General features: G+C 48.1%; 1 protein-coding gene across 3 annotated transcripts in view; it reads right to left on the reverse strand.

Moving 5' to 3' along the window:
- Positions 1-4,730, reverse strand: part of ASTN2 (astrotactin 2) — a 991,946-nt gene extending 987,216 nt beyond the window's left edge. For all 3 annotated transcript variants that reach the window (NM_014010.5, NM_001365069.1, NM_001365068.1), the window contains exon 1: positions 4,170-4,730. In NM_014010.5, the coding sequence (NP_054729.3) occupies positions 4,170-4,611 (442 nt within the window). In that variant the 5' untranslated portion in view covers positions 4,612-4,730. The remainder of the gene's footprint in view (positions 1-4,169) is intronic.

Genomic DNA, 11,997 nt, shown 5'->3' on the forward strand with positions numbered 1-11,997 from the left:
ACCTTAGAAGCCCTGGGCTGGCAGTTGTTCCTGCTCAAATTCTTTCTTTTCTATCAGTCCTTCCCACCACCCTCATGTTACCAGTAAAGGAAAACAGACAGTACAAAGCAAGAGGAGCTATCAGAGTCATGGAGTAGGTCAGGGCACTTCAAGTTCATAGAATCTTTACACGAAAGGATTATTTTAGAGCTCATCTACCCACTCATATTGCAGCAGAAAGAATTGAAGCTCTGGGGGATAAATGACTTATTCAAGGTCACAGTGAGCCAAAGCTGAGATTTCCAGATCCTAACCAGCGTTAAATTTCTAAGCTGCATTTTAGCATTCCACTTTTCCTCATTTTGCCTATTAAATCCTCCAAGGCCTAGTTCAGGTTCTTTCTGGTCCAGAAAGTGCCCCCAGTCTTCTCCAATTCTACAGAGATGCCTTCCTTCCCTGATGCTACAGAATGTATCATCTCCATCACTCATTGGCACCAATAAATAAAATGCCCTTTGACATCCAAGAGTCATGAAACTTTGAGCTGGAAGGGTCATTGGATGTCATTTAACTCATATTTCAGTTTCAAACTTACATAGGTCAGCTCACCAAGGTAGCTGAAGTTCCTTTGGAGAAAAGCTCTTGTCTAACAATCTTGATGATTGTTATCCCTCTCTATTCAGCACCATAACCTGCATAAACTTCATATTTGGTTCAGAATACCAGTTTAGCAACCTACAAGAATGTAGGTGTCTGGCAGACCAGGATTCCAGTTCCAGGTCTGCCATTGATTCCTGGCATGACTTTGGATTACGCGTTTGACCTCTCTAAAAATACTTCCTCATCTGGCAAATGGGAGTAACAGTAGAGCCCACTCCATATATGTTATGTAAATTAATAATACAAGGCAGGAAGAAAGCTCTTAGCATCACATTAAGGATTCAATAACTATTTGCTATTCTTTGATCACTTTCAGGGAGATTCACTTTGTCAATGTCATTGACTTATAATCAGATTCTAAAGAAGAATCCCAGGCAAACAAACTTTGGAGATAGTTCACAACTGAAGGAAACTTCCATTTACTTAAGGCAGGCTGAAATTTGATAGGGAGACTAGAAATACAAAAAGGAAAGGATCTGCAAAAAAAAAAAAAAAAAAAAAAAAGACTTGCTTCCAGTCTGGGCATTACCAATAACAGAAACAAAAGAGGCAGAATGGAGGGAGCCAGGGTTAAATATGAAGGTGACCTTGGTGCACGCAGATGGGAGATAGTGCATGCAAAATTACCTTGAGGTCCCCCACTGGAGTTTGAATAAACTAAGAATTCTTCTTTTTGTTTGTCCCCCTTTAATACCAGGGATGGTTTACCACCACTAATTCTGGTCCCAGGACCCAAAGTGACCAGAGGGCTTTGGTGGACACCATCACCCCCTAGTGGTAGCTCCACACTCCCCACTATTGGCAGAGTTTGGCATTTACCAACTTTGCATGCTCAGCTGTGGCACTGGCCATGTCCGTATCCCCTGAACTGATAAGCTGATAGTGAAAGCTGCCCAACTCGCCAGAGACAAACGTTAGGCAGGATGTTTAAAAGTCTGGGGATGGGATGGGGCTGCCTTGGGACACTAGAAAGAGATGGCCATAAATGTCTCATAGTATCAGCCCCAACCCCACCCCTACCACCACCCCCACCTCACCCCTCCCCCCCCCAACCCCCAGCGGGCACCAACTCTCATTTCCGGCCAGCTAGGTCCTCCCAGAACTCATTGTGCACTCTGTGTTTACACACAAACAGTGGAAGACCAACACAAATAAAAATCCCACGTCTCCCTACACAGCTCCTGCTATACCCAGCCATCTGGTGACTACCTCGCTAGCCAAATCCCCGTTGAGAGCGCCTAAAGCTGCCAGCCCAGGGCGCTAGGGGGAAAAGGAGGAGGCAAGAACCCAATCCCCCGCATGCATCCAAAAGGCTCAGCGCTGCCAAGGAGGCCAGCCCCGTGCTCTCCAAGGGGCAGAGGGTCCCAAGCTGCCAGGCTCAGGGACCGTGCATCAGAGGAGGGGGAAGTCTCCATGTGCAGGTTGTTGCCAGGAGACTCTCAAGCAACACATGGGTCCTGGGGGAATCAAGACTTCTAATTCCTCGCTCAGGTCCTCACTCAGCTTGTCCCAGGCTCACAGGCACCCATCCTGTTTGAAAGCCAAAGTTAAAAATGGCAAAGATTGTCAGTTCCAGGAATCCCGGGGCACCTATACAGATGGTTGGAGCAGGTCCTCCATATCCTCGAAGACTTGAAATGCTCTGTGGTCCTCACTGCCAAGTCAGGCCATACCCAAGGACCGTCTCATCCCTTCACTTGAATGGCCGTTTGGGGGGCGGGAGGATTTCCACCCCTCATCTCTCAGAGTACCCCGGAGTAGAGAGATCTAAAGGATGAAGGGAGAAGGTCAGGAATGGAAGTGGTAGTGAAGGGATACCTTCTGTGTCTCTAGAAAGACCCTTCCCCACGGGGAGGTGGCAAGAGCCAGCTGTGAGCCTGAGGTTAGTCCGGCGGCGCTCTAAGGAACACCACCTCCACCCTCCTTCCCTTTCTCGGACATGGGCAGCCCCACAGGTGCACGTGGGAAGAGCTACTGGTTTGTGTGTGTCTGTGTGTGTGTGCTTGGTGCGTCGCACCCCAGAAGCGCCGCCGCGGGGAGTCCCCGAGGAACCTGCAGGACGCTCCGCTGCCTCTCCTCCCGGAACGCTCGGCACGCTCAGGTTACAGCCTGCGAGGGTGGGTACAGGGGCTCGACCCCCGAGGTTCAAGCTCAGAGCGGGAGAACCACTGGCACTCGCTCAAATCCCCAGAGGTGGTAGCATGAAAGGATGGGGAGTGGGTCACAAAAATACTTTTAACAATATCAGGGCTACCAGGAGAGTGGAGCGTAGTCCGCTGATTATTCTGTGGGTCTTTTCAGGCGAGCAAGGAGTTAACCTCGGAAGTTCAGGGATCGTAAAGGTTCTCACCTGGAAGGCCCCTCACCTGCGGTGCCCGAGGCGGATCCCGCCGAGGAAAAGACCCGGGGAAGAAGAGCTCCGGGTCTGGGCGAGCCCCTGGCGCCTCACGGGCGCTGTTGTTGGCCAGACTCCGACAACCAATAAGGCCCCGCGCCCCCAAGAGGGGAGGGGAGAGCGAGCAAGCAGCGAGCGCGGGAGAGCTAAGGGGAACAACATTTTTGTAAACGCTCTCCGAGATAATTAAGCTATCAATTACCCGGGTGGGAAATCAGCTGCGCTTCCCACAGCTCCACTGAAGGGCCGACTCCTCCGGGATTCGCGCAGGGAACCAGCAGGCAGCAAGCTGCTGGCGAACTTTTCTGATTAACTTTTCCGTTGGAGCCCCCCACCCACACCCATCTCCTCTCCTCTCCTTTTTCTTGCCTTTAAGTAATTATTATTAGCCCAGGGAGTGAGCTGCAAGGACAAACCGGCTCTCTGCCTGGAGGTGGGTAGAAAGGGAAGGCGGTAACGGGGGTAGAGGGAGGCTCTAAACGTGGAGACCTCGGAGTCGGAATCCCAGTTCTCAGCAACCACTCAAGTCTCTCCAGCCCTATTTCACAGATGGCCAGAACTGAGGCTCAGAGAAGGGAAGCGACTTGGCCAAGGTCACTCAGCCCATGCGGAAGCCACGCTTTTGCGGGTTGAGCGATTCCACACGGAACTACTCCATTCCTACTCTCATGAAAATCCATCTGGAAGGGCAGAACCCGCAACTCCGAGGCGAGAGCGAGGGGGCGGTGACGGCGGGTGGCCAGTGACGGTACCCGGAGAAGTGGGAGGCTCGACCTGAAACTGGCTTAGGATCTGGGATGCTCCGGCCCCTAGCCAGAGCACCTTCAGTGAATGGGGTCTCCGGCTTCCGGGATGGATCAAGCAGAGCTCCAGGTCGGGACTGAGAGGCAGAGGGGCAGGTTCCCACTGCGGGAGGGTTGGCACGCCCCCAGGCTCCCGCCGCGCGCTCTCCAGGACCTCCTCCCACATGCTCGTTTCCAACCACCTGTGCGACCTCTGGGCCCCTCCTCTACCCTCTGCCAACCCCACTCGGGGCAGCCCCGGGCAGGGATCCCCAGGGCGCCCCCACCCGTCCGGCATGACGCAGGGGCTCGGGGTTCCTTGGGATCTAGCGCGTGCCGGCGCCCAGCCTTACCCAGGGTGAAGAAGGGCAGCTCGGTGTTGTCCAGGTCGTCCTGCACCGCGATGCGCCCCGGCAGCTCGTTACGCACAAAGAGCAGGAGGCGCGACTCGGCGGCGGTGCCGGCAGAGCCAGGAGAGCCCGGGGACGCGGCGGCGGCGGCGGCTCCGGCCCCGGTCCCAGCCCCGGCCCCGGCGCGGGCGCCGCTCCAGCCGATGTCGCTCTCCCGCAGGGCGGGCAGTGTGGACACCGTGACGGTCTTCAGCCGGCACGGGCTGTCGGGCTCCCGCGAGGCAGCGGCGGTGGCGCCGGCCAGCAGCGGCGGCGGCGGCAGCAGGAGCAGGAACAGCAGCAGCAGCGGCAGCAGTGGCGGCGGCCCCGGGTGGAAGCAGAGCCTCGGCCGCCCCCGGAGCCCCGAGCCGGGGCCGGGGCTGAGCCGGGCGCCGGCGGCGGCCATGGCGGGAGGGGCTGCGGTGCTGCGGGCGGCGGCGGCGGTGGCGGCGGTGGCGAAGGAGGAAGAGGAGGCAGCTGCGGAGACGGCGGACGCCGAAGCGAACCAGGACGCCCGAGCTAAGGAGCGGAGAGAGCCGCTCGCCAGCAGCCCCCAGCTCCGGGCTCCGCCTCCCGATCGGCCCTGGACCGCCCCCCCGCGCCGCCTCCCGGGGCCCAGCCGCCCGTCCCCGATCTCCGGCTCCCCCCGCAGACCCCGAGCGTTTCGGAGGCTCCGCCCGGCCTCGTGCAAGTCCCAGTGGCTCCCTCCCCTTTCCCAAGATCCCCCAATTCCGCCCTCACAGCATTCTTTAGCCACAACACCCCTCCCTAAACTCCCCAAATTCCTAATACTTAGGGCCCCCTCGGGCCCCCCCAAGCCCCCCTGACTCAACCCAGTTCTCCTGGCTTCACCCCACCTTCGGCTCAACCCAGAGGCTGCACCTGGGGGCGCGCCTTGGCCCAGCCTTGCTCAAGGCCCCGCCTTCTTGGGGATAGGGAGCCCCCTGGATAGCCAAGACTTAACTTTGTCTCCCCTCAGGCCCAAGAACAAGTCCTTTCTCCAATCTCCTACCCTTTTCTAGTCTCTGAAATAACTTCCTGTAGCCTCAGAGCCCCCTTCCCACCCACTTGGCCACAACTCCTGCATTCATTCTCCCACTGCCCGCAAACCTTCCTCTCCCCTCCATCCAGGCCTTGTGCTAGCACTAATTGCTAATGGACAGAGGGGCGTCGAACTCCACCGTCTAACGCCGACCCCACAACTGACTGAAGCCGGGCTGTTCTGGCCCCCTAGCTGCCGCCCTGCAAGCCAGCCCACTCACGCTTTTTTATTTTGGATCCCTGCTCCCAGCTTGGAGCAGCTCTACTTGGCTGCTTCTGCTCTCTGTGTGAAATTCCTGAAAAGGGTGTGAGGTAGAGACCTACTATTCTGTCTGTCCTTGGCTCCCGGGTCTTTTAGATCCTCTGCCCAAGTCCCAGAGAACGGGAGTGCTCACCAATTCTTCACCTGCAGTCTTTCTAGACTCAAGTTGAGCTAGGTCCTCAGATTCAGCACCCTTTGGTCTTGGGCTGACTCTGTCTCTGACCCACATACCTGAGACCCTCCAGGGAGCGGACACCTCTGCATGGGTCAAGTGCCGTGCAGCCCCTTCCCCACTCCCCTACTTTTCTTCATCTTCCCTGTCTCTGTTTTCTGTTTCATCTCTCCATTCATTTCCTTCCTTCTCATCTTGACTTTAATCTTACAAATGCTTCTTTCCTATAATTTGTGAGCAACTTCTCATCTCTGTCTAGCTTACCCATCTGCACCTTTTGTGCTGTCTCTATGCATTCACTTTTCTCTTAGCTCTTCCCTCTTCTGTCTCATTCCCCTTTTCTATCTTTAACCCTTCATATAAATTGCTTTTCTCCTCTCTCATCATATATTTTTTAATAACGTTGGATAAAGGCAGAGCACTGAAAATAAGGAAAAAAGCAAAAGCTGTTTTGCGACCTTGGACTTAATGTGTTTAAAGCATTCTCCAAATGCTAGACATGTACGTATGTTAGCTTTTTTACATGACCATAATCCAAAAAGATGGATATTATGATTCCCATTTTCCATGTGAGGAAACTGAGATCAGGTGGTCAGGGAGGTGAAGGGATTTTCCAAGGTCGTATAGCAAATGAGCTGAAGAGCTGAGGTTTGAACAGTAGGCTTCAAGCCTTGACTGTTTCCCTTAAATTACACTGTCCTCAGTGACCTTGGAAAACCCCACCCATCAAAGATGCTGTAAAAGGTAAATCTGCATAAGCACAGTTGGATCTACTTCCCTGTGAGGTTTGTAAGGTATACTTCTCCTGTCTCAGTTTACTAATCTGTGAACCCAAAGGATGTGTGGAGGTTGGGGTGGAATCTGGCCTTTCAAGTCCTCTAATTCTAAATGGTCTCCTGCCTCTCTGATGCCTGCTCTAGTTCATTTACTCCTCCAAAATATGTCACCCTGCCTCCCTCAGTCTCTCCTTTGTGTCCTTACAATCCGCCACTATCCACCGCAATGGGGCTTTCTGATTCTCTATGCCCCTTTCTTCAAATATGCTGACATAGTCCATTTACAGAAGAGCACACCAGGAAAAAAGGGCTCCCTTATGTAAGGCAGAGTCTGTGCAAGTCCTTCATGGACCTCTAGTACAAAGGCCTGTCAAATGAGACCAACACTTTCATTCATTCATTCATTCATCACCAAATATTCAGGGTGCCTACCAGGTGCTATATGGAGATGCAGGGATGGATAAACACAACTCCTGCCTTTGGAAAGCTTATAATGATTGGGGTGAGGGGGTGGGATGCCGGAAAGAGACAGGCACATAAATATCTCAGGTAATGGGCAGGCAGGCAGACATGTGTTTCCTAAGATGAGGTACTTGGAGAAATCAAAGAAAGCTTCCCAGAGGCGGTGGCTTTGGAATTGAACCATAAAGATTAGTAACAAGGGAGTGGGCATTCTAGGTTAAAGTTGGCATTTGGCATTCTTTGCAACTGCTTAGTAAATGAATAAATCCCTTTCCTACATCAGAGAATGTTTTATCTTTTAAGGCACAGCCCACCTCCCATGAAGAAGCTAACATTTCTGGATACTTTCTCAGCCTCCACTGCAGCTAGAGCTTGGGCACATGACCCAGGCTTCACCAGTTAGATTCACCCACCCCAGATGCTGAAAAATAAGCCGGAATCAGGCAGAATCCAGTGGCGGCTAAAAGGGCAATAGTTGGGGCAGTTACATCCAGGTGTCTCTGCTAGTCGAAAAGGTTCTAATAGCACTGTTTGGAGCCCAGTGATATCAATGTCAACAGTGTGAAGTGCCTTTTATTTATGCTTGGCTGCAGCTGAAACATATCTTCACCCATACAGTTCTGTGCTATGATTTGGAGTGGTGCTCTTGACTTCATGCACTTTAAACCCAGATCCCATGCCTTTCTGGAGATTCTAAGGAATCTAATAATCACTTAACTGAATTCTGAATTCTCTTTCTGCTTAAATTATTCAGGATTGCTTTCTGTTGCTTGCAACTGAAACACCTGGCTGAGAACACAGAATGTGGAAACAAAGGGAGGGCAGAGACAGCAAGGTGTATGATGGGAAATGAAGCTCAGTGAGGGGGAGAGGGAGTAACTGAAGACAAGACAGAAAAGGCAGACAAGGAGTACCAACTTTATATCACAGACAGTGTCAAATCTGGAATGTCCACAGGAAATGACTTATACTTCTGAACACATGCTCTGTGATCCAAAACTTTTTGTAGCATATCAATGAATGATGATAACAACTGTTGCCTTATGGTGGTTGTGAGGCTTTAGAAATAATTATACAAAGCATTTAACACATAATAGCTGCTCAATAAATTATAACTACTGCTTTGATGTATAATCTCAGCAACATTTGGAGCAAGGCTTTTTATCCCTATTTTATAGGTATGAAATCGGAGGCTCAGGGAAGCTGAGAAACTTGATTTTGGTCATGGAGTTATCAAGTGGTGAAATACAAGAATGCCTGGCTCCCAAATCTTTGCTCTGTCTGTCACAGAATGCCCCTCCTGGCCTCAGCCCTTTGCATGCAACTTATTCCCAGTATACTATAACTTCCCTACTCATACTCGAGTCCCCTGTCCTATGACCACCACTTTTCTCCCTCTCAGCCCCTCACACTCCTTCTCCTTTCCCCTCTTTGTTCAGTTATATTTCATTATTGATTCAATTCTTTCTCTTTTACAGTCCCCTGTACTCCCATCTTTGACTCCACTGATACAAAATTTTTTTCATTCTAACTCCTTTCCAGTCTTTCTAGCAAATACTTCCTCTTCTTTCATCTTTCATATTTGCCTTTCTAGGTAGTTTTGAAATATTTTTTCTTTCCTGCTTCCCCCTTCTCCATACTCTACTCTGTTTTAAAAATCCCTTGTATTTATGCCACCTGACTGAGGCATCCTAATGTAGTTGAAAAAGCCAGAGGCCCAAGAGGCTGGTTGATTTTCGTTTAGAAATCATCTTTGCTATTTCTCTATGGAGTCAAGTCACTTTATAGTTCCTACTAGGTCTTTTCTTTTCTCATTTGTGAAATGGGGAAAGTAGTACCCACTTCTCAGGATCACTGTGTGAATTAAATGAGATGATGTGTATGAAACTGTCTAGCACATATGAGGCTCTCTTGAATGTTGTAAGTAAATCCAATCATCTTACGGATCTCACCCACTGTTTTCCACTCCAGCCTCATGTCCCATAATCCCCACCACCACCACTTGATTCCAACCATATTGATCTCTTTTCTGTTCCCGAAATACTTCAAGCTCTTGTTGCCCCAGCATCTTCAAACGGACTCTTTCTTCTGCCTGGAGAGACCTCCCTCCGTCTTCACTAGCTATCTTTTGCTAGTCTATAAGTTTTGCTAATCAAAGCACTTTCCCTAACGTGACCACCCACCCAGCCTAAGTTAGCCTCTTGCTGTACTTTCTGTTACATCCTTTCATATTTCTTTATAACCATTTTAATTGTACTCATTCCATATTTCAATAATTGTCCATTTATTAGAGCATTTTCTTGGTGCGTATGTTCCTTACTAGATTGGGAGCTGCCAGATATCAAAGACCAACTATGTCTTGCTTACCGCAGTGTGCACACCAGCTAGTACAGTAACCTACATAGGGTAGAGATGCAAAATAAGTATTTTGCCAATGAACCATCACATATTTATTGAATTTTTACTGAGACAGGCACTGTTTTCGCATTAGCTGCACTTTCACAGAGAATATAATTTAAATTTTACAACAAAAACCTTCCCCCATCCTCCGTCTGTCAATTCTTCCTTCCCTTCTTCCTTTCCTTTCCTTCTTTCCTTCCATCCTCCCTTCTCAGCTTCCCATGATTCAAGTAATTCTTTTTAACAGTCTTTCTTCTTAAGCCTCCAGATGATCTCTAGAACATAAATAAACTCTAATTGAGGAAAAGAGAGTGCCATCTTCTGCTCCATCTCTGCTCTATCTAAGCTCAATCTTCCATCAATCCTTTTCCTGTCCACGAATCTCCACCATTTGTTTTCTCTTGTTCAATCACTGCCTTCTCCGTAACTCATATTGTCCTTTTAATCGTGCTTTGCTCTCTGCAGCATGTTGACTCCATTTATCACTCAGCGTATCCCATTTCTCTTCATTCCCTTCAGTCACCTTGCTCTAGACACTCTCTTGACCTGAGTTCTGCCAACCTCTTAGCATCTTGACCTATGCCGAACTCAGCACCGTCATCTAGTTTGGCATCAGTGACAAAACTAAGGTCAATCCTGAAGCTTTTATTTTTATTGTTGCAGGATCCAAAATACACTGCTGTAAATATGGTTATCACTGTTATTTAATTCTTTGAAACCTTCTGGTGAGTTAAGTTCAAGTTATTTTCTCTACCACTTACTAGTTTGCTGATTTTTAATGAGACTCATAACCTCTTTTAGACTTAATTTCCTCACCTATAAATGGAGGTAATGGGAAGGCTGAATGAGCCAGCAGGTGTAAATGAAAGTATCTAGTGCTGACCAGGTGCAGTGACTCACGCCTCTAATCCCAGCACTTTGAGAGGCAGAGGTGGGCGGATTACTTGAGGCCAGGAGTTTGAGAACAGCCTGGCCAACATGATCAAACCCCGTCTCTACTAAAAATACAAAAAAAAATTAGCTGGGTGTGGTGGCATGCCTGTAATCCCAGCTACTCGGGGGGCTGAAGCAGGAGAATTGTGTGAACGCAGGAGGCAGAGGTTACAGTCAGCCGAGATCGGGCCACCGCACTCCAGCCTGGGCGACAGAGCTAGACTCCATCTCAAAAAAAAAGAAAAGAAAAAAAAGAAAAGAAAAAGAAAAAGAAAAAAGAGAAAAAAAGTGTCTGGTGCTGTCTGGCACATAGTAGGTCATCAGTACTAGTAGCTACTTTCCACCTCCAAATGTCTATTTATTTGGTCCTTCTGTGACCTCTGTCTCTTTGCATTCATCTCTCCACTTCTCATTTCCATTTTCAGAACATTTCCACTATGTCTCATTTAGAGCAAACTTTTACCATTGTCTCTAACTTCTCTTTCGTGAAAAATGAAAGAATATTTTAATCACCATTGTCGTTCTTCATTTCCACTTGCATCTGTTTGACTGATTTCTGCTTCAACCCAGCACTTCTCTGACTCTTTCCCTTAACAATTCTCAAATTTATTATCTTTTTTCTCCAGCTCATACCTTTCACTACCTCCCACTTTGTCTGTCCCCGGTCCTCTAAATCAACCCCTTCTTGTTCTGTGATTTACTGCCTTCATTTCATATCCTTTTATAGTCAAAATCCTCACAATACTCCTAAAAGTCTCTTTCCTCACTCATTCTTTTGCATTTTCTTTCTCAAGTCCACTCAAGTTTAATTCATCTTCATCATTCATTTGCTTGTACCCAAATCTCTGTACCTTTTTGCCTACTTAATCATTTAACCTATTCGAGTTTCCTTTTGCTTCTGTTACACTGTCATCTTTCATCTTTAACACATATTAATGAGCAATGTTTCTTTGGACTTTTTCTTCATACAAATTCTAATGCTGGTGTATTTTCAGGATCCTCTTCCTGGGTCCCACTAACTTTAATTCTTTTCTGGAATCTTTTCTCTGGGAATCTGCTTTAGTTAGAAAAAAAAGAAAAAAAAAGGCCTGCAGGATCTGCTCTGTATTTATTCAAGCTATGCTGCTATCGTGGTGGATTCAAATGTATATTACTGGTGAAAAGTGTAAGCTTTATTCTCTTCTATAGAGTACTAGGTCATTCTCCTTTCTGCAGCACACTATTTTTATTATTATTATTACATTTTGAACTGGTCAAGGCGATATCAGCCTAGATTCACTGTTTCCATAACATTTACTGAACACCTACTGTGTGTTAAACACAAGCTATTTTTTTTTTCTTATTTAATGTTTGCAAGCCTGTGAATTTGGGATTTTTAATTCTTGTTTTACATGTGAAGCATAGAGAACACATAGAGAATGCACGGCCTGCAATATGTTGGCAATTTATATCTAATAAAGTCCTTTTAACTTTTTTGAGTGAGACAGTAAAGTGTAAGAGTTAAGAGTTGCATACTTTATAACAGGGATAGTGACAACCACTTTGGAGGAGTGTTATTTAATATTTGTCTTCCCTCCTAAATTATAGTTTCCAGAAGGGCAGAAATTCTATCATTCTTGTTCTCTGCTCTCTTGTATATATTAGGCCATCAATGATTATTGTTGAATAAAGAAGTAGATAAATGAATGTATGCTAAAAGTACAATTTTTTGCATAAGACAACACTGGCTTTGAATTTCAGCTTTGC

The sequence above is a fragment of the Homo sapiens genome, chromosome 9, assembly GCF_000001405.40.
Source record: "Homo sapiens chromosome 9, GRCh38.p14 Primary Assembly".
In the NCBI taxonomy this organism is placed as follows: Eukaryota; Metazoa; Chordata; class Mammalia; order Primates; family Hominidae; genus Homo; species Homo sapiens.